This window comes from Homo sapiens, chromosome 16 (genome assembly GCF_000001405.40).
Source record: "Homo sapiens chromosome 16, GRCh38.p14 Primary Assembly".
NCBI classification, from domain to species: Eukaryota; Metazoa; Chordata; class Mammalia; order Primates; family Hominidae; genus Homo; species Homo sapiens.
Window position 1 is genome coordinate 85,603,637 of NC_000016.10, and position 23,359 is coordinate 85,626,995.

Sequence of the window (23,359 nt, forward strand, 5' to 3'; positions counted from 1 at the left end):
GACCACAGACATGTACCCCCAAGCCTGGTTATTTTTTTATTATTATTTTTTGTAGAGATGGAGTTTCACTATATTGCCTGAGCTGGTCTCCAACTCCAGGGCTCAAGCGATCCTCCCTCCTTGGCCTCCCAAAATGCTGAGATTACAGGTGTGAGCCACTGGGCCCAGCCCAGATTGGATTGTTTTTAATTGAGGTGAAATTCATGTAACATACAATTAGCCGTTTTAAAGGGTACAGTTCAGCGGCATTTAGTACATTCCTAATATGCAGCCCTCGTCTCTGTCCTGGTCCAAATCATTTTCTTTTTTTCTTTTTAATTATAAAGAAAAGCGGTATAATTGGTTCATGGTTCTGCAGGCCCTGCAGGAAGCATGGTGCTCACATCTGCTCAGCTTCGGGGGAGGCCCCAGGAAATTTACAATCATGAGGGAAGGCAAAGAGGGAGCCAGCATATCACGTGGCAAAGGCAGGGGCAAGACAGAGGGACCAAAAGGACCACCCCAAAAGGAAACTCAGATCCATTAGCAGCCACTCCCCTCTCCCCTCCCCTAGCCCTAAGCAACTACTCCTCTGCTTTTTGTCTCTGGATTTGCCTGTTCCGGGCATTTCATACAAATGGAATCCCCCTTGTTTGTCTGGCTTCTTCCATCCAGCATCGTGTCTTCAAGGTTCATCTGTGTTGTAGCGTGGATTAGCACCTCAGTCCTTTTTATGGCTGAGTAATAGTCCACTCACTGTATGGATAAACCATGTTTTCTTCATCTATCCATCATCTGATGGACATGTAGGTTTTCACTTTTTGGCTATGATGAGCCATGCTGATAGGAACATCCGTACAAGGTTTTGCGTGGACGCGAAGGTATGTTTCATGCCTCACTGTGTATCAGGCCCCATTCCTTTCTGTGGCTGAATAATATTCCATTGTACACAGAGACCACATTTTGTTTATCTCTTCCCCCCGTTGATGGTCACATGGGCTGATTTGATAATTTTTAAAGATGCACCTTCTGAGGCGGGAGGATCCTTGAGACCAGGAGGTCGAGACTGCAGTGAGCTATGATCGCACTACCGCGCTCCAGCCTGGGCAACAGAGTGAGATTCTGTCAAAAAAAAAAAAAAAAAAAAAAAAAAAAAAAAATATATATATATATATATATATATATATATATTTTTTTTTTTTTTTTTTTTTTTTTTTTTTGAGATGGAGTCTCGCTCTGTCGCCCAGGCTGGAGTGCAGTGGCGGGATCTCGGCTCACTGCAAGCTCCGCCTCCCGGGTTCACGCCATTCTCCTGCCTCAGCCTCCCGAGTAGCTGGGACTACAGGCGCCCTCCACCACGCCCGGCTAGTTTTTTGTATTTTTAGTAGAGATGGGGTTTCACCGTGTTAGCCAGGATGGTCTCGATCTCCTGACCTTGTGATCCGTCCGCCTCGGCCTCCCAAAGTGTTGGGATTACAGATGTGAGCCACTGCGCCTGGTCTGCTATCAGTATCTTCACACTTACAGAAGCCAGGGACTTGGGTGGCCGGCTGGGCCCCACCCGCTGTCCTGCTCCCCTTGCCTAGTGACCAGCCAGGGGCCGGCAGGGGCTGGGCTCACGCAAGTTGCTGGTGTGATTCTTGGAGTGTGTGTGACATTCCAAGGCCTCTCCTAATGTCGGAGGAGAAAAGAGTTCCGCTGCTCTCACTCTAGGCCCAATGTCCCAGGGCAGAAGTGGTCTAAGTGACCGACCTCCCTGCCCATCTGGTCTGGCGCCGAGAAGTGCTTCCTCGTAAAACTTTATTTGTCTGTGCTGCCACCTTTCCACTTCCTCCGCACAGCAAATGTAAGGGAATGCTTCTGAGCTCCAGCTTCGTCCCAGGCACTGGGCATGGCTCTCTCTATTGTCTTGTCTGGTCCTCACCAAAGTGGGGGCAGGGGGACACGTTCCTTGCAGGGCAGCAGCTAAGGAAACGGGTGTGCAGTGGGTGGAGATTTGCCCAGTCCGGCAGCTTGACTGCCATGTCCATCCTCCCCCTGCACCCCCGGGGGGGCCACCGGCTGTGCTCTCCAAAGCCACATTTTAACGTTTGCTGTCTGGGTGGTCATTGAATGGGGTTAACACGTCTGGCCCCAGGGTGTTTTTAGAGGTAAGTGGTAGAGAGGGTGCTGCCCGTAGCGAGCCGGATAAACTGAAGACCGCATTGTAGGTGATCAGAAGCCTCAAACAGCAGGCTGGGCTCATGGGCGGCCCAGGAGCTGAGACTGCCTTGCTTGGACTGGAGATAGTTTCCTGATGGGAAGAAAAGTTGCAAGGAGGAGACCCTGCTCCCCTCTGATTGCTGCCAGTGAACTGGACCTGTTTCTGCCGTGGTTTCTGTTGAGTTGACATCATTGAAAGCTACCCATGTGCCCATCGGGCTTGGCCGCCAGCCCCTGCCCTCCTTCTCACCTCCACCACAGAAGTTTCGGCTCCTGCCCTTGAAGTCTGCCGTGGCACAGCCCACTCCAGCAGGCCTGCCAGGTAGACGGGGTTCTCAGCGCCCTGGGATTTTATAAAAGCCTGCTAAAATCAGACCACTCCGGAACACATGCTCTCCCGGCTTTACATCACCCATGTTGACAGTAGGAAAATTTGGCCAGGTTTCTCTCAAATATGAAAAATGGGAACTAGGCATGTGAGGAAATGAAAACCTGGCATCCCCACCCCAGACAGCAGGAGCGCTGGGAAGGCAGGGCGGACTTCTCCGAGCTCCACAACCTCATCCGTGCAGTGTAGTGATGCCAGCCTGCAGGGCCCTGAACGCGGACCTGGTCAGGTGCCCTCACACAGCTGCACTGTCTGGATGTGCAGGGGATGGAACGGAGGGCTTCAGGCCACCAGAGGCGGCTCCTGGCAGAACGTCTCCTTGCCAGGAAGGGGCCACTTTGCCACTGAGTCTGCCCGTCACTGGGTCCTGGAGCTTCTGGGTGACCCGGGAGAGGGACAGGTTGTGGACAGCAGTTGAGCCAGGCCCACCACCAGGGTGCAGGACCCAGCCTGGATGCCCTGGGATCCCTGTGGCTTGCCTGTGGCAGCCCAAGTGGACGCAAGCTCTTCCCAGGATTTCAGACACCTGGGACACTTAGACTTGGCCAGGGCCGTCTGGCTAGCAGGGGCCAACTTGTCTCCCAGACAGTAACAGGGCAAGGGGTATGTGTGGGGGGTGCTCACTGGTGGCAGAAGCGTCCAAAACTCCCAGGATTCTCTGCCCCCCATCAAGGGTCCGAGCGCTGCTCCCCCAGCCCCCTTCCCCTGCCTCGGCCTGGCCCCGCCATATAAAGTTTAAAGGTTTTAAATGCAAATATTTCTTTTATAGATGCCAGCTGTCTCCAGAGAGTGCGTTTCCTTGCTGTTCAACTTTACTGTCCAATTAGCTTCCCATATCTGGATACTGGAGAGCCTGGGGTGGGGGGGGCGGGAGGGAGGAGGGGGAGGGGAGCTGCAGGAGGGAGGAGAGCCATGGCTCCTGGGCCAGCTCTGGAGCTGGAAGCTGCCCTCTGGGACCTGTATCTGGGTTGGGGTCAGGGAGCCCAGGTCATAGAGTGGGTGCCTCTCCAGAGGTGGGGGTCACCCGTTTCAGGTTTCCCCGCTCCAGTAGGAGAGGCAGGAGCTGGGGGGCGGTTGGTAGCAGGGGTATTCTTTTCTGATTTAGAAAAATAAAAGCCAGCAGCCCCGACGCACACGGCTTCCTTTTACTCCCTCTCCCGCCCGCTTTCCAGCCGCGGTGGCGGCGTCCCCATTCACCAGGGCTCGGCGGCGCTCACAAAGCGAGGCAATTAGAATTGAAAATCTATGCAAAACAGCTGTTAACTGATTGTAAAGGAGTGCAGCTGTGTGCGGGGTGCGGATTGGAACCAGGCGCTGAGAGGGCAGGAAGTGTGGGGCAGCCCGGGGTTAAGAGGAAAACTCCTCAAAGGGAGTTAGCCGGGCCTTAACCCTTTCCTGTTCCCCTAGAGGTGACCTGGGCTACTGAGGGCCACCTGAGCTGCTGGGGTGGGGCTCCCCCAGCATCCCTGGCGAATCTGGTTCCTCCCCAAGAGGGGGCAGGCAGGGAGAGGCGGGCGCTGCTTTCCCCTCTCTCCCTCCAGCCTTTATCCAATCAGCAGATCTGGGTTAAATCTTAAATCCTGCCCAGGGTCTGGGGACTGTGTCCCTGCTAGGAGACAGGGGCCTTCTTCCCTTGAGGCCCCCACTGCCACTCTGGAGCAGGGAGTCTGGGACTCCAGCAGACACGCTGTGGCCCGGCCTGCAGGGTGGCTGGTGGAGGATGCTTCTTCTCAGGCACTGCTTGGAGACCTTGGCTCCGTAAGGGGAGGGGCCTGGGGATCTGTATTCCTCCCCCCCATGATTTCAGACCCACTGCACTGTGTGATTGCTATCTAAGAGTGGGACGCAACCTGGAGAGATGAATTCCAGAGGCAGGGATGGGAAAAGCCTTCTTGCAAGAGATAAGATGTAAGCCGGGCTTTGAAGAATGGGGAGGATTTCTGGGCCAGTGATAGCAGGGCAGGAAACAGAAAGAGGAGGGTGGAATCTAAGTGGTGGGGGCTTGCACCTTCACCGATGCGTAGGGCAGGGCTGGGGGCTGAGGGCAGATGGGGTAGCTGGGCAGCCTTCCACCCCTCAGCTCTTCGTGCCCCCCGGATTCAGTGCACTCTGTGGACTTAGCCCCCCGCCCCTTGCCCCTGCACCGGGGCTGGTAGCCTTGGGGAGGGTGGACTGTGCATACAGGGGAGCTGGGTGAATCCCAGGGTGCTCAGCTCTAGGCAGCTAACGGCTCCCTCCCCCGGCCCCCAACCAAAATGGTTTTCAGGCACTGGACAGCTGCCCAGAGGTAAGAGCGTAGACCTGAAACCGCTTGAGACCTGTCGTACCCCTGCAGGTGTATCTTTCTTAATAATCAGAGTGACCATGGCAGGTGGTTACCGAGAAGTGCTGCCAGGTGTAAGAGCCACGTCTGGATGAGACTCGTGCTGGAATGTGTGTGCCTGAGGCAGGCCAATTAACCTTCTCAGGTCTCCCCACTCGGGCTGTGTAATGGAGGTCACTGCCTGCCTTGCAGGGCCGGGAGGGCTTCCAGTGACATGCGCTGAGCAGCGCTGGCTCTTGTTAGGTGCTTGGTGAATGGCACAGGTGATCTTTACCTCCTGGCCCACGGACATCCAGGTCCCTGATACTTATTGGCGGATCCAGGCGCTGAACAAGGTGCCCAGGCAACATAATGAAGGTGACATGCAGTTCCTACGTGCTAGGAGCAACTGGCCAGGATGGAGAAGGACCTTGGGTTAGGCTGTGTGCTGTCCTGCTGAGCCCTAGAAGAAGCAAGAACCAGAAAGAACGTGTCCGGGATCCATCCTCCGCCAGGGCTAGGCCGTGTGCTCAGACTTAGTGAGGTTGTGACAGTCACGGGTGGCGCCCGCACCCCTGAGCACCTGACGTGGCCCAGGTTGATGCCCAGGCAGTGGTGGTGGTGGTCTGTGCTGTCATCCTGCCCCCTTGCCTTCCAAATTTCCTTGCTGCCTTGAAGTGTCCCCTCTGTCAGCATCTGCCCTCTGCTGTCTGTCCCTTGCCGCCCCCACCTTTAAAAACAACCAAAAAAAGACAAGGTCTTGCTCTGTGGCTCAAGCTGGAGTGCAGTGGCACAATCATACCTCAGCCTCAGACTCCTGGGCCCAAATGATCCTCCTGCCTCAGTCTCGCGAGTAGCTGGGACCACAGGCTTGTGCCATCACACCCAGCTAACCCTGGCCTCTCTGAGGTGCTTGCTGAAGGCTTACTGGAATTTTCAGTTTTGTTTCTGGAAAACCAAGTGTGAAACACAGCCCAGGGTTTAGTGTGTTTGTTGAGTGAAAAACCGCCCACCCTCTGTGGTTCAAGGCGTCCCTTTCTTTCTGGTGGATCCTCCTAGGACTCCCGTCTCCAGACACCCCTCTTAGTTCCTGAGCTCAGGGAGTAGGTTTAAGGTGTCTCATGTTCATCTGAGATGGAAAGCTTTCTTTTTTTTTTCCTCCTTTGAAACAGGGTCTCACTCTGTCGCCCAGGCTAGAGTGTAGTGGCACAATCTCAGCTCACTGCGACCTCTGCCTCCTGGGCTCAAGGGATCCTCCTACCTCACTTTCCCAAGTAGATGGGACTACAGGCACACGCCACCATGCAGGGCTAATTTTTTTTTGTTTTTAATAGAGACAGGGTTTTGCCATGTTGTCCAGGCCGGTCTCGAACTCCTGATCTCAAGCAATATGCCTATCTTGGCCCCCCCAAAGTGCTGGGATTACAGGCGTGAGCTACCATGCCCTTAGGAAAGCTTTTAAATTTTAAATCTCTTTTGTGGTGCAGGTCTAATAGGTTCCAGGGCTTGTGGAGGTAGGGCTAGAGTTTGCACCTAGGTGTCACTGAAGCAGGTACCTGAGGCAGGTGAGGGGCTGGGAGCCTGCCTTCCGCTCTTGGAGGCACAGTTTAGCTTGGCAGGGGCCTCAGGGTGTGAGCAAACGCGCACCAGGCACCAGCATCCTGTTGCCTTGGCACAAAGCACAGTCCGTGGTAAGGAGCACCGCGTGCAGCATCCCCAGGGCAGGTGTCCTGCTCTGGGAGGTGCCTCCGTAGGCCTGGCCCTGGCACCTACCTAGCTCCTTCCAGGCAAATGGGAGTGGAGGGTGGGAAGGAGGTCCAGGGAAAGAGAGCTGTGCCCAGGAAGGGCTCGCACTATCTGGGGGCGCGGGGCTGTGGGTAGGGCGCTGCTTAGGAAGAGAGAGGAGGAGGAGCAGGCCTGGAGGGAAATGGAGGGAGGCCAGCCTTAGCCCCAGTGCTGGGAAATTAGGAGTCAAGCGACAAACCTCGTTAGCGAGGAGCGCGCCGGCTGCAGGAGAGCAATTCCCACCCTTAAACTCGGAGGCCGTGCTCCGGATTACTAATTTCCGGGGGCCGGGCGCACTGACAGTGAGTGTCATCCATCTCCCCCTTGCCAGCCCGCCTGGTGGCCGCCAGCGTTTCCCGGCCAGGACTCACAGAGCGGCTCGCTGCTGCCCCCCGGCGGTTGCCGGGGTGTCCGGCAGCGCCTCGCTCCCCTAGGCCTACTGGGTTGGGAAGGGGAGTGACTTCCAGGTGTGAGCAGTTTGGGGCGCAGCTTGCATGTCACCTGTGTGCACATGATCTTGAGCAACTCAGGGCCTCAACTTCCTCATCTGTGAAACGGGACCAGACCACCCATCTCGCAATCCAGGGGAGCTAGATGTATACGCCGGAGGGATTGGCCGGCTCTAAAAAGCCGAGTGATGCACCTCCCAGTGGCCACTCCACACGTTTTTGTGGTTGGCCGTCGTGGTCCTGCTCAAACAGGTGGAGAAACCTAACCCCACCTTCACCCCTGGCCCAAGGGCCTCTCCAAGGAAGAAGGGAGTAGGTGGTGGCACCGTGTCCGGGTGAGAGACCTGGAGGTGGGGCCTAGGTGTCTACCCGGCCAGGTGCGAGAGGTTCATTTGCATGCTGTTCCCCTCCCCCCGCAGCTTGTAATCCAGGTGGGAAAGGGGTTGGGCCAGTCCCGGAGGTGAATTTTGTTTTTAAGGCTCGGGGCCAGTCGTCGTCCATTCCTTCCTAACACCTCCCTATCCTCCCCTCCCCCCGCCCGTGACTCCCAGTGGGGGTGGAGGCGCCCCTCCCCCTCCCCCTCCCCCTCCCAGCCCTGGCCGCCTGGGGCCGGGTGAATCCGCCGGCCAGTGCGGGTATAAATTACCCGGGCCCGCGCGGCCGAGCCACCGTGTGGTGCGTAAATTATAGCGTCCGGCCAAGGCCGCAAGGGGGGCGCCGCCGGTGAGCTGGCGGGTCGTGCGGGGAAGCAGCACCCCCGCGCCGTGCCAGGGCCGGCCAGCGTCCGCAGGTAGGAGCCAGTAACGGCCCGACCCGGCCTCGCCGGTCCGTTTCCCTTTTCGTTTGTGGTCTGCCCGGAGCCTTGTGCAAGGCGGGGGGCCGGCCCGCGTGCGCCCCCACCTCCGGGCCCCGGCGCGCGCTCGGTCGGAGGTCGAGCGGGGAGCGTGGGGCCTGAGGGAGCCCGCCAGACCCTGCCCCCCGGAGGGCACACAGGCTGGTTCTGCTCCCCGCTGGCGCGGGCCCCGAACGCTCTAGGCCCGCCAGCGTCATCGGGAACAGATGGATGGGGGGTGGCAGGCGCCCAGCGCTCGCTCCCGTCGCAATCCGGGCTGGCGCGGGGAGGGGGAGGGAGGAAGGCGGGGGAGGCGGGCTCGCGGGGACGGCAGCGTGCGCGCCTGCCAAGCCTGGCGCGGGCATGTCCCGGGGCAGGTTTGGGGCTGGCACGAGGGGGCTGAAAGTCGAAACCCGCACCGCAGCGCAGCGCTGGGGCGGCCGCCCAGGGGGTGCTGGTTTGCCCCAGGGCTCAGAAGTAGGGACGCGCTAGATCAGAGGGGTGTTGGAAGAGGATGAGGAGGGAGCGACCCCGGGGCCTCAGAGCCGCCCGGGGGGGTTACAGCCCAGGGCGCCAGAAGGCGGCAGGGGAGGCTCGCCGACCCCTGCCCCCGAGGCCCGCCCCTTTAACCCCGAGCTTCCTGGGGACGCGCCCGCCGCGATGGGGTGGGGGCGGGGCGGGGCGGGGCGGGGTGGGCGGAGCCGGGGGGTGGGAAGGCTGGGGCCTTCAGTCCCTCTCCGCGCCGCCTGTGGGTGCCCAGGAATTTCAGGACGCTCCCTGAGTCATTCCAGTCAAGTGCCTGGGTGAGGTAGGGTGGGGGGTGCCAGGAATGGGGAGGCGCTGCGCTGGGGCCAGAAGCGCAATGGGTCGTGCCAGTTTCTGGAGGCGGGCGACCTCGCCTCTGACCGCAACCCCAGCTACTTAATGATCCCCCTGGCGAAGCGGCGCCTCCGTGGGTTCTCCAGCCCCTGGGCCGCGGGTTCTTTAAAGAACACCCCCCGCAGCGGCCCGCAATTGTGGCCTTCCCAAAAGTTACTTAAAACTGGGGGGTGGGGTGCCTTATGGAATTTTGAGGCCAAGTTCTTAGTATTCAGCCTTTTCTAGTTGGGGTAATAAGGTCAGGCATGGGGGGGGTGGGGCTTGGGTACACAGTCTGTTTTGTGTCGCCTCCCCCCACCCCACGCGCCACCAGCGCCCAGAAAGTTGTTCTCCAAAAGGCCTCCAGGACACGGAGTTACCCGTCCGCCCATTATTGGGCCTGCTCTGTGTCAGGCACTGTTCTAGGTTCCCGGGACGCAGCTGCGAGACAGGGCTCCGCTCACGTGGCGAGGGTGCTGCACTACTTTAAGAGTTAAGTGGCCGGTCTTAGCCACCAAGGTCCCCGGGACCCCCGAGCAGTCCAGCCAGGGGCTCCCGAGAGTGTGGGGGTGGCACCTCCGCGGCCCCGCTGGTGTCCCCGGCTCACCTGGCCGGCCGGGCCGGGGAGGGGCGTGTGCCTGGGCGGGTGGATCCGGGCGCCCGTCGGTGCGCGCGCGCGCGCCTGTGTGTTTGCGGCTGAAACCCGACACCTCCCGCTGGCTGAGGTCAGGGAGCCGGGAGCGAGCCAGTGGCCCGGGAGTGGGCGGCGTTGCGTTTGGGTGTGTCCTCGGCGGCGACAGCAGCAGGTGTTTCTTGGCCGGGGCCCCGGAAGCTCCACCTCCCCAGCGGGCCCGAGCTGCCGCCGCCGAGCAGCCCCGGGTGAGATAAGCAGTTTAGACAAACACTGGGCGACGGTGGCTCCAGCATGTATCAGCCGAGGTGGAGCTGCGGGGCCCTGGCATGAAAGGTGAGCGCGCCGCACCCGGCCGGGGACGGGGTCCTCCCCCCTCCCCCCACCGCACTGTCCTCCTGCAAGTTCGCGGGTTTCGCGGGGGCGGCCGCCAACGGCTCCCGGGCAACTTCCCCGGAGTGTTAGCGGCGATAAGAGCCGGGAGGGCGGGCAGGCGACCAAAGGCCACCCCCTTCCTCCGCCCGCGGGTCGCAGCCTGGGAGGCCTGGCTGCGGGCGGGGACTCGGGGGCTCCGGGCTCAGGAGTGCGCTCAGCGGGGGATGGGGGGGGTGCGTTTAAGTGCGTGCGGGCTAGAGGGCAGGTAAAGTGGGGGGATGGGGGTGGCGGGGGGAGTCTCCGAGAGCTGCGGGCGCTGGAGAGCTGGAATGAAAACTTTGCGGCGACGCGGGAGGGAGCGAATGGGGGTGGCTGTGCGCCCCCGCGGCAGGTGCTGGCGACGGCCGAGGAAGCGGGGGTGTGGGGGGGGGGGGTGCTCGCTACTGGGGCCGCGCCGGTTAGGGTTCTTGTCTTGCTCCCCTCCCCCTCCCCGACCCCTTGTCTCGGGGGAGTTGGTCGGGAGGGCGGGACCGCAGCCTGCCGGGTTTGTGACCCCCACGCCCTGCTTCCCGAGGAAGGGCGCGCCCCGGGCTCGGCCGCTTCTCTCCTCTCTCTCCCCCCACCCCCGGCGGAGCGGCTCCCTGCCCCTCCCCTCCCCCCCGCAGAAGATGGCTGCCCCAGCCTCGGAGGTGGGAGAGGGATTGCACATCCGCCGCCCCCCACCCGCACTGGCCTTTTTCCCTCCCCGGCCCTTCCTGCTCCGCCTGGATGCGCCTCCCCGCCCCCAGCCCTCCCGGGCCCTGCGGCCGCGCTGATGGGCGGCGAGTGGCCCGACCGAGTGGAGCCGATTCAATTATATTGCAGCACCAGAGACACCTCCTCGGCCGCCCGCCCGCCTCTCTAGCAGGCTAATTAAATTCCCTTCATGGAGGCGGAGCGGGAGTGGAGCTCACCCTCCCTGCGCCCGCCCACCCCCAGCTTTCCGCCTCCCCTCCCCAGCGCCGGGTGGGGGACCAGGGGGGCACTTAGAAATGTGCGGTGGAGACTCGAGGCGCAGGCCATAGGGAGGGGGTTCCCAGATGGGGGGAAGGGACACCGCGACACCCTCATTAGATGGGGGAGTGGAGGCTGCGCCCTTTCCACGTGGTGGGCCGGGGGCCTGGCCGCAGTGCCCGTCTGAGTTCCGAGGGCAGCGTGCTGGCGGTGGGGGAGCACCTGCCGGGTTCCCAGCTGGGCGGTGGATGCCAGCCGGAGTTGAGTCGGTTTGGCTCTTACAAACTAGCCTTTGTACAAAGTGCGTTTAAAACACACTAAACCCTTGCTCCCCGCTGCGGTGCCTTATCTGGGGCCTGAGGGGTAGCGGCCACACAGGTTGGGGTTTGGAAACAAAAAGCGGGGCCACCAAATGGAAAGAGGGCTCCTTTTGTAAAAGGCGCCTGAACAAAAGGCCCAGCCGCACTCCGGGTGGAAGCGAACCCGCCTAAGCCGATTTCCAGGCGGCGGGGGACAAAGGGGCAGAGAGAAGGTCTTGGTGGGGGCGTTGTGAAATGTGCCCCCTGGTCGGCCGTCTCGTCCTCTCCTCTGGGATTCCGTGCTCCCGCCTCCCGGCAGGGGTGGAAGGGGGAACCCAGGTGAGCAGCCTTCCCTGGCCTCCCTCGGTGTTGCTTAAGCTTGGGGCACTTCAGTGTTGCTCACCCTGTGTTTACGGCCGCCTCCACCAGCAGGGACGGCAGAACCTGAGGCACAGGCTGTGCCTGACTCAGCCGCCACGCCACAGGTGAGGGGCCCAGGGCGCAGGCTCCGACGGCGAAGTGTGTCATCCCGGCCGCCGGCTGTGCAGGGAGTCGCCCCGCCCAGGTAGATTCAGGAGCGCTGGAAGAGGCCCTGGCCTGCGAGAGCAGCGACCTCGGTGCTTCCTAAGAGACTTTCCGAGACAGCCAGCCCCGTGTCGGCAGCGTTCCTGATCTCCTGCGGGCCGGGTGCGAGGATGGCTTTTGTCACTCTGGCAGCAGACACCAAAGTCAGGAGGGGAAGCTGGGGAAGCTGGAGCCAACCACGGTTTTGACGCTTGGAGTTTTCTTTCCTGGAGCCTTGGGGGCGGTGCCGGGCCAGAGCTGGTGAGAGCCCGCCAGGAGCCTCCGGTGACCTAGGGTCAGCCCTGCCTTGGGAAGGGAGGTCGGGAAGTCCTAGTTCTAGGCACAGTGAGGCTGAGCTCAAAACAAGGAAGGCAACAAGGTGTCCACTGTGGCGCAGGCTCTGAGCTGTTTGGGACAGTTTTTAGGATCTTGGAGTGTCAGAGTTCAAAGGGGCTTGTACATCTCCAAACTCGGTGTTTTAAAACTGCTGCTGGCCAGGCCTTTCCAAGCCCAGTTAAGCCACAGCCTCTGGGTTCCTGACCCGGGTCTGGGGGTTGTCAGAGCTCCCCAGCTGATCCTAACGTACACACTGGGGGTAGGAACAAGGGGCAAACTGAGGCTTGGGGCCAGGCGTGGGGCGGACACCGCGCTCACAGCAGGAAGCCTCCTCCGATGGCCCCGATGAGCCCTCCCCTCCAGCAGTCACTTCCCTGTCTCTGGGGGAAGTTCAGGGGCTGCAGATCTGAGTGCCTTGTGGTTTCAGAGCAGAAGCCAAGCCTGCCTGTGGGCTCAGCATCGCCGGCCCCAGGAAGAGCCAAGTCTGCACAGCGCCACTCTGTGGCAGACCGGGGTCCTGCACCTCTGAGCTAGAGATTCCCCCCTTCCAACCCCTGGAGTCCCAAATTCCCCTTGAGCCCCTGGAGCAGGTACTGTCTGTCCTCCCCTGCTCTGAAGGAGGCGGACTGGGGGGCCTTTGGGCTCGGAGCCCCGAGCTGAGGGGCAGGAGCTGGTGCCTCCCACTTTTCTGGAAGAGTGCGGATAAGCTAGAGGGCTGGCTGCTACCTTTTCCCTGCCTCCAGGAGCTCGCAGGGGCTTGTGGAGTCGGCTAGCAGGGCCGGTTTTTCCTGGCCCCATTTGAAGCCTTGGAATTCCCAGCCTGGGTTACTCGAAGTCCAAGGATCAAACCCTGGGATCGGGCCAGGGTTGGATGGGGACCCTCTCTGGGTAGCCTGTGAATTGTCTCTGTTGTGGCAACAGCAGGGTCCTCTGAAACCACAGGGCTTCCCCTCCCTTTCCTGGTGTGCCGGGAGAGCTGTTTTTTTAACCTGCAGAGATCCATGTTGCAGGTGACATTTCAGCTTGGTGGCTGTGCCGAAGCCTGGCCGCCTGGCTTTAATTCCTCCCCCAGTGGAGTCTCAGATCTCGGTGGCCTCACCGAGTGCGGTGTGGGACGCCGTGCTGCTGGCTTCACTTCCGCATGCTGGCCTTTCTCCCCCGGCTGAGGCCACAGCCTGGGAGGTGACGTTTCGGAGTGTCGCTGTCAATGAGAATTTATTGAGCTCCTCCTCTGAATCCAGCCGTGTGCTTGCTGCTGGGAGGTGTACAGACAGATAAAACAGGAGCGTGGCCAAAAGCAGCCCTTTGCATGCCTGCCAAACGCACACTCGGGGGCCTTTTAATCTTGCTTCTGCAGCTCTGATTCCCCACCAGCCTCTTCTCTCACGCCCTCAGCTCCAGCCAGACGAAACCACACGCCATTCTCGCCACTCCTGCGTTTGGCCACGTCCCTGTCCTAGCATGGGCCATCCCGTCTGCCTGGGATTCTCCCGTCTGCTCCAAAGCCCACCTGTCACTGAGGCCAGTCCACCTGCCCCTCCTAACCTGATGCCTCCCTCGCATCCATACTCCCATGCCCACCCCGTGTCTGGAATCAGAAGTTCAGAGGGGAAGTGAGAGCTGCCCCCGGGAGGCTGGGGCGGAGTCCAGGCCTGGAGGAAGGAGCTGTAGATGAGGGCAGGGCTGGTGCTGGAGAGGGCCTCTGGTTTACCTTCACCTGCACCTACCAGTCATCTGTGGAAAGAAGGGGTTGGGCTGCACTTGAGGCTTTTGTGGGTCCTTGTGACTTGGGGGTTTCTAGGGAGGCAGGTGGAGGAAGTGGGGAGCCTCCAGCTCGGGGGTCTCTCCTGGCTGCACTTTTGAATCACCTGGGGAGCTTTAAAAGCTCCCAGTGTCCAGGCTGTACTGCCAGGCAGTTCAGGCCAAATCTCGGAGGGATGCAGCCTGGGCATCCGTGTGTCAACCCTCCCCCCCCCCCCCCCGTTAACTGCCACGTGCAGCCCAAGCTGAGACCCTGGCTCTGCTTTCTTCCAGAGCAGCTTCCTAGTCACCTAGGGGCCAGGGTGGGAGCTTTTCAATGCTTGGCCCCCCTAATCCAGAAGGGCCTTCTGCTGGGGGGAGCAATGTGGGTAGGAATTCCTTCTCCTGGGAAGATGGGCTGATGCTGTTTCAGGAGACCTGGGGTCTCTCTTCCCACCTGGGAAGCCAGAGACCGCCTTGCTTGCCCCGGAATTGGATGGAGAACCCTGGTGACTCAGAAATGGACGTCTCCCCTCTACGCCACCTCCCCCGCAGGACGGCGTGGCACCTGTCACCTGGCTGCTCTCTGGATGTCTGTGGGCCTTGTGTTAACCCCAGGCAGAATCCTGAAGGTCATTCTTGCCTGGCCCAGGTGTGCTTTGAGCTCTTCTAAAGGGGCTTACAAATGCAGAGTCCCACTGGCATGGGTGGATTCGTGTTCACCTGCATCTCTAGCCAGGCCTTCCAATTCTGGAACCGGTTCCTCCAGCTGGAGGACTTGACGTGTCTGAGGAGGTGTGTGTAATAGTGGCTTTGGGATCACTGGACTGAGGTGGCGTGAGGGGGGTGCGTGCTAATGGTGACATAGATCCTTCCACTTTAATCATCACGTCCTCACCCCCACCCCCATGTTCTCATCTGTAAGACGAGGATGCAGAGGCCCTCTGGCAGTTGAGGGTGAGGATGAGATGCTGTAATGCCCGCCACATGCCCCTGACGGGTAAATGACAGATGCGGGTGAGGGTTGAGAAGGCCTGGAGCGTGGGGTGAGCCCCTGATGAGTGTCAGCTGTTACTGTGTCGATCAGTGCATCTGACTGTTCGTATCTGCCTCTTGCTTAGCCTGTGTGACCTCAGGCACTTGTGTTCTGGGCCTCAGTCTTCTAATCTGTGGAATAGGAATGACAATGTCACCTGTATCCTGAGGCTGTTGAGGGTTAAAGCCTTTATTACCAAGTGCCCAGTACAGCACCTGACACAGGCTCTGCAAAGCCTTGCGGCTACTCCTGTTGCTGTTGTTTTAATTAGAGACAGGGTCTTGCTCTGCTGCCTAGGCTGGGGCGCAGTGGTGCGATCACAGCTCACCACAGCCTCAAACTCCTGCGCTCAAGTGATCCTGCTGCCGCAGCCTCCTGAGAAGTTGGAACCACTGATGCGTGCCGCGACACCTGGCTAATTTTAAAGAAATTTTTTTGTGGAGACAGGGTCTCTCACTGTGTTGCCCAGGGTGGTCTCAAACTCCTGATCTTGGGTGATCCTTCCGTCTCAGCCTCCCAAAGCACTGGAGTTACAGGCATGAGCCACTGTGTCCAGCTTGGCTTTAATTTATAAAGTTCCAAGGCTCTGTTCCCCTACGCTCAACTGACTCCCTTGCGGTGTTGGGGGTGGCCCCTTTTCCCAAAAAGACTGGAGTTGCTTTTTCTGCCCTAAGGCTCAAGTCACCACAGCAGACCCTGCCGGCCCCTCTGCTGGGCTTTAACAACCGGAGGTTCTTTTTAGGAGCCTCAACGTCCCCTCGGGCTCACATGCACACCACTGCCCCCTTGGTGATTGGCACTCTGGGCCCAGGTGGCGGGAGATGCTTTAACAAACTGTCCCTCCCCCAGCCCTGCCCTTCCTGCGCTCGGATGGTGGGTCTGTGGCCACAGGCAGCAATGAAGGGTATCGACCGCCCAGCTTTTGGTTGAGCAGTATTGATGTTGGACAGGTTAAGCCGTCCCGAAGGAAAATCTATATGTCAAGCTGAGCACAAGACAGCTTGCGAGTGGAGGCGGGAGGGGGGTGGGGCGCAGCCTTAAGGGCCACTTCTAGGCTAACCCTGAGTCTTATCTTCTGGGTTGGGGGGCAAAGCCCGGGGGTGCCAAGCGATGCCCCACAGCCCCAGACGGGCCTGGAGGGACGGCAGGCGCTCTTACGTGGTGTGATCTGTGGGCAGATGGTGTGCCGGCCAGGTCTTGATCCCACTTAAGGAGTTGTCTCTGGGATTTAGTAACCAGATGGGAAAGACTGTATTTCTGTATCCAGAGGTGCTGTGGCTGCCCCAGCCTATGAGGGTCACGCCGTGGGCTGTGCGTCAGGCGTGGTGGGGGGACGTTTTCACCCCAACGTGCTCCTCCTCCCCAGGGAGGGACTGACTTGCTAGGCAGGGATTATCCCCATTTAGCCATGCACCAGGGAAGAAAGGGGCCCCGGGGATCCATATCCTCCCTGTAGTCACACAGCTGGTAATTAATTGGTAGAGGAGCAGAAACCCACACCATGATTTTCCCACTCCAGCCTCCTCACCCAACTCCCACCCGCTCTCCCTTAGAGCCTGGAGAGAGGTCACCGGCTGCTTCGGAAGGCCCTGTTTAACCTGGGCTGCTTATGGGGTGCGGTGGCTCAAGCCTGTAATCCCAGCACTCCAGGAGGCCGAGGCAGGTGGATTGCTTGAGCTCTGCAGTTTAAGACCTCCTCTCTACAAAAAATAAAAATAAAAATAAAAAGAACTGGCCAGGCTTGGTGGGATGCGCCTGTGGTTCCAGCTACTCAGGAGGCTGGGCAGGGAGGATCACTTGAGCCCCGGAGCTCGAGGCTGCCTGCAATGAGCTGTGATCGCACCACTGCACCCCAGCCTGGGTGATAGAGCGGGACTCTTGTCTCAGCAAAAAAACAAAATTAAACTGAGCTGCTTCACCCAGTCTCGGGATGTGAGTGGATTCTTCCAACTGAATTCCCAGTGTACATTTATCTTTGAGTGTATTTTTGTAATGTTTTTGCATTTGACATGTGGTATTTTTTCCATTCACTTAAATATACGAGGATCCACTAGACAGCCGATGCTATACTGGGTGTTGAAGACACAAAGTGGAATGCGGTTCAAGCAAAAATTCTCAGCCAGATGGGAGCATTGGAGAGACTTCCGCCTCCCAGAGGCTGCCGATCCACGCGGTCGTCTCTGCCGCCCGTCGGGAGGGTGCGGTTAGTCACCCCGTAACAGATAAGAAAACAGGGTTTCGGAATCAGCCCTTGTGGAATGCCTGGGCTGGCGCCCCACTCAGCCCTGCATCTCTGAGCTGTTGGGGAACCCGTTTAGATGGTCTCAGCCTTGGGTCTCTGCACTGTTCTCAGCCCTGGGTCTCTGCTCTGTTGAGGAACCCGTTTAGAGGGTCTCAGCCCTGGGTCTCTGCTGTGTTGGGGAAGCCGTGTAGATGGTCTTGGCCATGGGTGTCTGCTGTGTTGGGGAACCCGTTTAGAGGGTCTCGGCCCTGGGTCTCTGCTCTGTTGGGGAAGCCGTGTAGATGGTCTCGGCCATGGGTGTCTGCTGTGTTGGGGAACCCGTGTAGATGGTCTCGGCCCGGGGTCTCTGCTGTGTTGGGGAATCCGTTTAGATGGTCTCAGCCCTGGGTCTCTGCTGTGTGGGGGAACCCATTTAGATGGTTTCAGCCCTGGATCTCTGCACTGTTGGGGAACCCGTGTAGATGGTCTTGGCCCTGGGTCTCTGCCCTGTTGGGGAACCCGTTTAGATGGTCTCGGCCCTGGATCTCTGCACTGTTGGGGAACCCGTGTAGATGGTCTTGGCCCTGGGTCTCTGCTGTGTTGGGGAACCCGTTTAGATGGTTTCGGCCCTGGGTCTGTGCTCTGTTGGGGAACCCGTTTAGATGGTCTTGGCCTTGGGTCTCTGCGGTGTTGGGGGAACCCGCTTAGATCGTCTCTTGAAAAAGGTTTGTGTCCACCGCCCCCCGTGCTGGGGTGTGCAGGGAGTGGAGTGTGCGCTGAGATCGTATCTATTTTAAATCAAGCCGATGTCCTGGCGTCCTTTTTTGAATACAGTCTTATCGTTTTACAACGTGTTGTTTCCACCTAAATGTACATCTTATAAGACTTTATAGGACTAAGGAAGTTAATCCATCCTTAGCAGGGATGCCAGACCCCTGGAGCCTGTCACCTGGGCACAGGGAGGACATTTTAACTAAGCAGCTGGTTTCCAGGTTGAGACTGGTTGGGATCCTGCGGAGTGACTCTGAATCCACTAACAGCAGGACTGTGTCTGCTTGGATGCTGGAGCTGGGGTTTCTCCAGCCACGGCTGGCAGAGTGGACCCTGGGGTTTTGTGTCATCCGTGTCTCTTATCCACTGGAGAGACTGTTGTGTTCCTTCTGCCAGATTACCCTTGAAGAAGCAGGGGAGGGGAGGGCGCTCCGGCCCACCTCTGCTTACCTGCCCACCTCGGGCTCATTCTTCCCACCCCATACTCCCCATGCAGCCTTCAGGACAGGAGACATAGCCTGGACTACTTCTCATGGCGCAACAAGAACTTTGTTACCAGTCTTGGTGGCAGAGACTGCCAGCTCCCAACAGCCAGGTCTGCACCTGACTGGGAAATTTACTAGTTCCTCACTGGGATTCTGGAGGGGCGTGTGTGTGTGCATGTTGAGAATTACAGAATCATTTAGACTTAAGCAGTCAGCCATTCAGCAGTTGACAGGATGATTGTGGCCGGAAAAGGTGACCAGTTTGTCCTGTTTGGTGGCTGGGTTGGATGAGGGAGTCCAGGACTCCTGGCGCATGACTGTTATGGGAGCTTTTCCTGGACAGCTCCATTCCAAAGTCCATCTTGGCTGAGGGTGCTTGTTGGTTTTTTCCAGTGAGGCATTTAGTGATGTCTGGGCACAGCACTTGGGGCTTTGAAGATGGGAGACGAGTCTGGACGAGGAAACGCCATTAGAACGTGGATGGTTCTGGGCCCTTTCTTTTTCCACCCTGTATTTCCTCTGTCCAGGCAGGTCATATTGGGGAGGGTGTTCATACTCGTGGGTTGCCACTTAGGGAACTCTGTGCTGTAGGAGTTTGTAGCCTGGGTTCATGGATGCTACACATCTTCAAACACACGCTCCCACAGGGTTTACAGATAGGCTCTTCGAACTTGGTAAAACTGTATGTAACATGCAGTAGGTGTATTTTCCTGGGGAGAGGGTCTGGTCCGCCACTTTGAACCATCTTGAGAGTGGACCTTTTTGCAAAGGCGGATGTAACTGTTTTATGACTTGAGGGGCAAGTCCTGACTTGGTGAGCTTGCTTTGATTCAGGGGAGACCTACCTTGGGGTTGACACACGCCAGAATTGTGGCCTTCATAGGCGTCCCCTGAAGCTGAGCCTGGGAAGGGGTTGACCTCTTTCTGTTACACCCTCATGGAGTTACCGTGTCGATGACATCTGAGTGGAGTGTCTGTGCTGAGGGTTGCAGCTGCAGCTGCCGCAGGGCTGTTAGTTGCTCAGACCTGCATGTACTTGGAGAATTGGGAAGACCTGGTGTTGAGGAAGCTGGCTGGCCTGAGACCATAGGGAGGGGAGGGGTGCAGACTCTGGCAACCTGGAGAGTTAGGGACAAACTAAGGGAGAAGTGCCACTCATGGGGCTGTGGTTTTTATGGCTTAGACTTTTCGGGAGAAACTGGGCACCTTCTCGTTGACTTGAAGCCTCCTATTTTAAGACATTGCCCATTGATTCTCGTTTAAACAACACAGCGTGATTTCAGGTCAAATAAAAACAGGTTGAAGGGTAAAAGGCTGGCCCCTTGTCCACTCCTTTTTTTTTTTTTTTTTGAGACAGGGTCTCGCTCTGTCACCTACATTGCAGTGCAGTCGCGCAATCACAACTCAAGGCAGCCTCAACCTCCTGGGCTCAAGCGATCCCCCACCTCGGCCTCCCAAAGCGCTGGGATTATAGGCGTGAGCCACTGTTCACTGACCCTCTTGTCCAATCATTTGCACCCTCTCTCCATGGTACTGACAGGGAAACTGAGGCTCAGGCCATGCGGTGCCCTGGAAGTCCGCACTGAGCTGTTGGGCATGAGTCAGCCTGGGCCCACCCCCGTTCCCCTTGGTTTTCCAGCTCAGGACCAAGCCCTTTTTGCTCTGCCCCCATAGTGTGTTCCCTCGAGGCCCCACAGCTCTCAGCCTTCAGTGGAAGTTCAGGCTGGCTGAGTGGGATGTGAGGACCCCGGTGCCTGCAGGCAGGCACACTGCGCCTTCTGACTTAAAGGCGCCCATTTCTGCTGGTGTGGGCGTCCGCCCTGTTGGAGGGAAGGGACGTTTTCCAGTCATCACCATCTCCCCGCCTCTGAAGCTGGAGACCCTGGACCCCTCTTCGAAGGCCAGGTGGCCCTTTCTGCCCCCGCGCCACCTCCCCTGCTGCCCAGGCCACTCCTGGCCCCTGTATGATTGCTTCTTTGAGCACCTGTTGGTGTCCAGCTCCTGTACGGCCTGGTCCCTGTTCTTGGCTGTAGACTAAGGGCCCTGTAGATAGGTACTGGCACTCACTCGGTACAGAAGGGACAGGCATTCATAGGAGACGTCCTTGGATCCTCTCTCCCTCCCACTTACCTGAGGGAGCTTGTTAAACACTCAGCCTCCTCCACACTGGGGAGAGGAGAGGGGCCTGCATTTCGTGGGTCCTTGTGAGCAAGCGTCTCAGCCTCCTCTTCCTGCTGGCCCATGCCCCCCGGCCGCCACCCGCCGTCCCACGGAAACTTGGAGACCTCAGTGCCCGCCCTGGGGTGGGGGAGCCAGGTTGGATTTCCCTCCTGGGCACCTCTCACCTGCCTGGACACCTTGGACCTCATCCGTTCCTCTGCCCAGGGCCTCTGGAGGGAGGAAGGGCTCCCACAGGAGCAGGTGCAATGGAAGGCAGCCTGGTCAGCTCTGGTGCCATGGGCTACACAGGGCACCCGGGGGCGGTTCCGGCCTCTAGCACAGGTGCCCTCTGGCTGAGAGCTGTGGGAAAGTGGGGCTGGGGGAGGCCTCGAGTCCAGAGCCTTCCTATTCCCAGCCGTGTAGGTCCCGTCCGTAAAACGGGTATAGCACTAGGGTGGGCACCCAAACAGCCGCCACAGGGTGAGAGCTGCCACAGGGAGGGGACCCCAAGTGACGCCAGCCATTTCCAATCTCTTCGCACATTAAAGGGAAGCAGCCGGCACCATGGCCAGGACAGCTGGGTTTCCTTCCGGCTCCTGAGCCTCTACATGTGACCCGGGTTGAGGGCGTGAATCTCCAGCCTCCGTTCAGCCTCTGTAGGCTGGGAGTGAGCATCCCACTGTGTGGAATAAACAGGTGGAGAGAGGCGCCTGGGCACCGCCAGGACCACTGCCTCCGGGAAGCAGCCCATGGGGAGAATGTGACAAGGGACCCCAGGTACCGCCAAGGGCACAGGGTGGCGGAGGGGCTGGGAATCGGCCGGCATGGGTGAGCCCCCGGCTCTGTCTCAGCTGAGCTGTGTGGCCCCAGCGGCCTGTGTCACTTTGCTGTTCGCAGCTTTGCTTTCTGGGGTCTGCTTACGTAAAGGGAAGTAAGGGTACAGGTAGCCGGCGCCCTGTAAAAGTTGCCCCCTGGTACCTTGATCGCTGTTGGTGCTGGGCACCATCTCCCAGAGTCACAGCTCTGGACACCGACCCCAGCCTTGACTCAGGGCCCCGCCCTCTCCCTTGGTCTGTCGTGCCCCTTTAGGAGGCCGCCTCCCTGCCGAGGCCAGGCTGCCGCCCGCATCTGCCAGTCCCGCCCTTCCCGCCGCCCTCCTCTCCAGCCCTTCATCTGCCCGGCCTGCTTCTCCGCACACACAGCAGCCGCTTAGGATAATCGCGTCAAATGTTGCTGCCATCTGTTGCCTGACTTCCCGTCCCTCGCCTCCATCCGGGAACCTCCGGGACCAGTCCGTGGCCGTGAACCTCAGTCGCAGGACCGTCGGCTCCTAGGAGGCTGCTGTCCGCGGGTCCCCAGAATGCAACCTCAGCATCCAGCGCCTTCTGTGCAGAGCCCCCCTGCTGTCCTCAAAACTGTAGTGTGGCGTCCAACCTGGGAAGCCCCTCCAGGTGACCTGGCCCCCCAGGTGACACCCCTGGGATTGACCTGCTCCCTTGCACTGTCCAATGCTGTTGTGTGGACGTCTCCCGAGAGCTCTGCACCCCGTGTTCTTCTGCAGAACACGGCCTCCTTTGTGTTCCCAGCATGGCAGTGAGCAAGAGAAGGCTGGGGAGAAACCGGGGTGGCCAGCCCCCTCCCCGTCACCCCCATTCACAGCAGGACTGCAGCTTCAAGGGTGTCGTGGGGCTCGGGCAGAATATGGGGTTCAGGGTGGCTGCTGGGGGCCCTAGGCATTGCTTGGGAGATGGCTCATTGCGGGTGGCTCTACGTGGTTGACCGGGGCCCTGGAGGGCAGCGTCTGGGGGCTCCTGCCGTGGCTCAGTGAGCGTGGCAGAGGACAGGTCTACACGGGCCAGGCGCTGTGTTGCTCTTTCCTCCTGGGGTAGGGACTCCTGTGGCTGCACAGGTTGCCCCCGCCCACCTGCTTGTGTTTTCTCAGCCCTTCTTGTTCCAGGTCAGGATCCTGGCCACCTGCAAGGGCTGTCCTTTGCCTTAGCCATGAGTGATGGCCCTGGCCGGTTTCTGGGGCATAGACCTTGGGAAGCAAGTCCAGTATGGGGACCCAGGGCAGCCTGGGGGGGTGTTTTTATTTGGAAAAAAAAAATTAAGGCACAAGCAGGCTGCCCCCATGTGTCTGGAGCAAGAAGACCTCTCCCCAGGGTCTCCCCGCCCCCTCCCTTGCCTCCACCCCCAAGAAAAATTGCTTTGTGCCACTGAGCTTGGAGCACGTGGAGGGCAGATATGATAATGAATTTATCATGAAGCCGCCCAGGCTCCTGCGATCACGTGGTGCCCGTGCAGCCTCAGCCGCCAGGGTCTGTAGCAGGGTGACCCGACCTCGTTAGGGCCACGGAAGCTTCGCCCCTTTGGGGGAGTGGGGATCGCGGGGGCGGGCACCAGTCCCCGAGCTGGGGGACGCCCTTTATTTGTTCACAAACATTTCTTTCTGCGGTAATGAAAAATTACCAAGAGGGGTGATTAGAGAATCCAGGTCCAGATTGTGTGTGCGGGGCCTGAAAGTGAAGGCCTGCTGGGCCCAGCCTCACGGGGTGTAATTACCCCACGGGGGGCTGTCAGGGGGAAGGGGCGGATTGGTGCTTGAACCGGGACCCAGCAGAAAATTCACCTCAGCTATTAGCTTGTAATTACAGAGCACAGAGGGAGCAGGCCTGAGGTCTGGTGCCGGGGAAGAGCCGGGATGAAAGGAAGCAGTAATTACGGGATCCGCGGGAGGCCGGGAGGGCGGCTGGCACGCTGATTAATAAGCCCCTCCAGCCTCGTGGGGAGGGGGAGCGAGGAATGGGACACCATATTTAATGGAGTAGAGAGGCCTCCCCCCTCGTTTAAATCCTGCTGTTGGAGCGTTTGGACAGCAGGCAGACCGGTTTGGGGTCTGTTCTGAAGAACTAAGAACGAGATGGGTTCCGGAAAATAGCAGCTCGCTGGGCCA

General features: G+C 59.3%; 1 protein-coding gene across 29 annotated transcripts in view, besides 22 other annotated features; it reads left to right on the plus strand.

The window, feature by feature from the left end:
• The window catches only part of GSE1 (Gse1 coiled-coil protein), a 506,689-nt gene that overhangs the window by 434,125 nt on the left and 49,205 nt on the right, over positions 1 to 23,359 (plus strand). For 4 of the 29 annotated variants that reach the window (NM_014615.5, XM_047433829.1, NM_001278184.3 and 1 more), the window contains exon 1: positions 9,686 to 9,762. The exons of 17 other annotated variants lie outside the window; for them this stretch is intronic. In NM_014615.5, the coding sequence (NP_055430.1) occupies positions 9,756 to 9,762 (7 nt within the window). In that variant the 5' untranslated portion in view covers positions 9,686 to 9,755. 8 more of the 29 variants (XM_047433822.1, NM_001134473.3, XM_047433824.1 and 5 more) reach the window with 6 other exon arrangements.
• Positions 987 to 1,630: an enhancer, noted in NCBI's record as "H3K27ac-H3K4me1 hESC enhancer chr16:85638229-85638872 (GRCh37/hg19 assembly coordinates)". NCBI's record gives its function as "activates a minimal SCP1, AML or CMV promoter by ChIP-STARR-seq in primed H9 embryonic stem cells {active_cell/tissue: H9 hESC(primed)}" and the evidence as "EXISTENCE:reporter gene assay evidence [ECO:0000049][PMID:30033119]".
• Positions 6,946 to 7,125: a silencer, noted in NCBI's record as "silent region_7810". NCBI's record gives its function as "represses an Ori minimal core promoter by ATAC-STARR-seq in GM12878 lymphoblastoid cells {active_cell/tissue: GM12878}" and the evidence as "EXISTENCE:reporter gene assay evidence [ECO:0000049][PMID:35858748]".
• Positions 7,196 to 7,285: an enhancer, noted in NCBI's record as "active region_11278". NCBI's record gives its function as "activates an Ori minimal core promoter by ATAC-STARR-seq in GM12878 lymphoblastoid cells {active_cell/tissue: GM12878}" and the evidence as "EXISTENCE:reporter gene assay evidence [ECO:0000049][PMID:35858748]".
• Positions 7,196 to 7,764: a biological region, named in NCBI's record as "H3K27ac-H3K4me1 hESC enhancer GRCh37_chr16:85644485-85645006".
• Positions 7,243 to 7,764: an enhancer, noted in NCBI's record as "H3K27ac-H3K4me1 hESC enhancer chr16:85644485-85645006 (GRCh37/hg19 assembly coordinates)". NCBI's record gives its function as "activates a minimal SCP1, AML or CMV promoter by ChIP-STARR-seq in naive H9 embryonic stem cells {active_cell/tissue: H9 hESC(naive)}" and the evidence as "EXISTENCE:reporter gene assay evidence [ECO:0000049][PMID:30033119]".
• Positions 7,316 to 7,435: an enhancer, noted in NCBI's record as "active region_11279". NCBI's record gives its function as "activates an Ori minimal core promoter by ATAC-STARR-seq in GM12878 lymphoblastoid cells {active_cell/tissue: GM12878}" and the evidence as "EXISTENCE:reporter gene assay evidence [ECO:0000049][PMID:35858748]".
• Positions 7,676 to 8,285: a silencer, noted in NCBI's record as "silent region_7811". NCBI's record gives its function as "represses an Ori minimal core promoter by ATAC-STARR-seq in GM12878 lymphoblastoid cells {active_cell/tissue: GM12878}" and the evidence as "EXISTENCE:reporter gene assay evidence [ECO:0000049][PMID:35858748]".
• Positions 7,676 to 8,286: a biological region, named in NCBI's record as "H3K27ac-H3K4me1 hESC enhancer GRCh37_chr16:85645007-85645528".
• Positions 7,765 to 8,286: an enhancer, noted in NCBI's record as "H3K27ac-H3K4me1 hESC enhancer chr16:85645007-85645528 (GRCh37/hg19 assembly coordinates)". NCBI's record gives its function as "activates a minimal SCP1, AML or CMV promoter by ChIP-STARR-seq in naive H9 embryonic stem cells {active_cell/tissue: H9 hESC(naive)}" and the evidence as "EXISTENCE:reporter gene assay evidence [ECO:0000049][PMID:30033119]".
• Positions 8,326 to 8,635: a silencer, noted in NCBI's record as "silent region_7812". NCBI's record gives its function as "represses an Ori minimal core promoter by ATAC-STARR-seq in GM12878 lymphoblastoid cells {active_cell/tissue: GM12878}" and the evidence as "EXISTENCE:reporter gene assay evidence [ECO:0000049][PMID:35858748]".
• Positions 8,916 to 9,145: an enhancer, noted in NCBI's record as "active region_11280". NCBI's record gives its function as "activates an Ori minimal core promoter by ATAC-STARR-seq in GM12878 lymphoblastoid cells {active_cell/tissue: GM12878}" and the evidence as "EXISTENCE:reporter gene assay evidence [ECO:0000049][PMID:35858748]".
• Positions 9,216 to 9,975: a silencer, noted in NCBI's record as "silent region_7813". NCBI's record gives its function as "represses an Ori minimal core promoter by ATAC-STARR-seq in GM12878 lymphoblastoid cells {active_cell/tissue: GM12878}" and the evidence as "EXISTENCE:reporter gene assay evidence [ECO:0000049][PMID:35858748]".
• Positions 10,196 to 10,355: a silencer, noted in NCBI's record as "silent region_7814". NCBI's record gives its function as "represses an Ori minimal core promoter by ATAC-STARR-seq in GM12878 lymphoblastoid cells {active_cell/tissue: GM12878}" and the evidence as "EXISTENCE:reporter gene assay evidence [ECO:0000049][PMID:35858748]".
• Positions 10,516 to 10,575: a silencer, noted in NCBI's record as "silent region_7815". NCBI's record gives its function as "represses an Ori minimal core promoter by ATAC-STARR-seq in GM12878 lymphoblastoid cells {active_cell/tissue: GM12878}" and the evidence as "EXISTENCE:reporter gene assay evidence [ECO:0000049][PMID:35858748]".
• Positions 10,619 to 11,470: an enhancer, noted in NCBI's record as "H3K27ac-H3K4me1 hESC enhancer chr16:85647861-85648712 (GRCh37/hg19 assembly coordinates)". NCBI's record gives its function as "activates a minimal SCP1, AML or CMV promoter by ChIP-STARR-seq in naive H9 embryonic stem cells {active_cell/tissue: H9 hESC(naive)}" and the evidence as "EXISTENCE:reporter gene assay evidence [ECO:0000049][PMID:30033119]".
• Positions 10,636 to 10,875: a silencer, noted in NCBI's record as "silent region_7816". NCBI's record gives its function as "represses an Ori minimal core promoter by ATAC-STARR-seq in GM12878 lymphoblastoid cells {active_cell/tissue: GM12878}" and the evidence as "EXISTENCE:reporter gene assay evidence [ECO:0000049][PMID:35858748]".
• Positions 13,457 to 13,636: an enhancer, noted in NCBI's record as "active region_11281". NCBI's record gives its function as "activates an Ori minimal core promoter by ATAC-STARR-seq in GM12878 lymphoblastoid cells {active_cell/tissue: GM12878}" and the evidence as "EXISTENCE:reporter gene assay evidence [ECO:0000049][PMID:35858748]".
• Positions 15,127 to 15,798: an enhancer, noted in NCBI's record as "H3K4me1 hESC enhancer chr16:85652369-85653040 (GRCh37/hg19 assembly coordinates)". NCBI's record gives its function as "activates a minimal SCP1, AML or CMV promoter by ChIP-STARR-seq in naive H9 embryonic stem cells {active_cell/tissue: H9 hESC(naive)}" and the evidence as "EXISTENCE:reporter gene assay evidence [ECO:0000049][PMID:30033119]".
• Positions 15,799 to 16,470: an enhancer, noted in NCBI's record as "H3K4me1 hESC enhancer chr16:85653041-85653712 (GRCh37/hg19 assembly coordinates)". NCBI's record gives its function as "activates a minimal SCP1, AML or CMV promoter by ChIP-STARR-seq in naive H9 embryonic stem cells {active_cell/tissue: H9 hESC(naive)}" and the evidence as "EXISTENCE:reporter gene assay evidence [ECO:0000049][PMID:30033119]".
• Positions 21,328 to 21,836: an enhancer, noted in NCBI's record as "H3K27ac-H3K4me1 hESC enhancer chr16:85658570-85659078 (GRCh37/hg19 assembly coordinates)". NCBI's record gives its function as "activates a minimal SCP1, AML or CMV promoter by ChIP-STARR-seq in naive H9 embryonic stem cells {active_cell/tissue: H9 hESC(naive)}" and the evidence as "EXISTENCE:reporter gene assay evidence [ECO:0000049][PMID:30033119]".
• Positions 21,837 to 22,344: an enhancer, noted in NCBI's record as "H3K27ac-H3K4me1 hESC enhancer chr16:85659079-85659586 (GRCh37/hg19 assembly coordinates)". NCBI's record gives its function as "activates a minimal SCP1, AML or CMV promoter by ChIP-STARR-seq in naive H9 embryonic stem cells {active_cell/tissue: H9 hESC(naive)}" and the evidence as "EXISTENCE:reporter gene assay evidence [ECO:0000049][PMID:30033119]".
• Positions 22,853 to 23,359: an enhancer, noted in NCBI's record as "NANOG-H3K27ac-H3K4me1 hESC enhancer chr16:85660095-85660601 (GRCh37/hg19 assembly coordinates)". NCBI's record gives its function as "activates a minimal SCP1, AML or CMV promoter by ChIP-STARR-seq in naive H9 embryonic stem cells {active_cell/tissue: H9 hESC(naive)}" and the evidence as "EXISTENCE:reporter gene assay evidence [ECO:0000049][PMID:30033119]".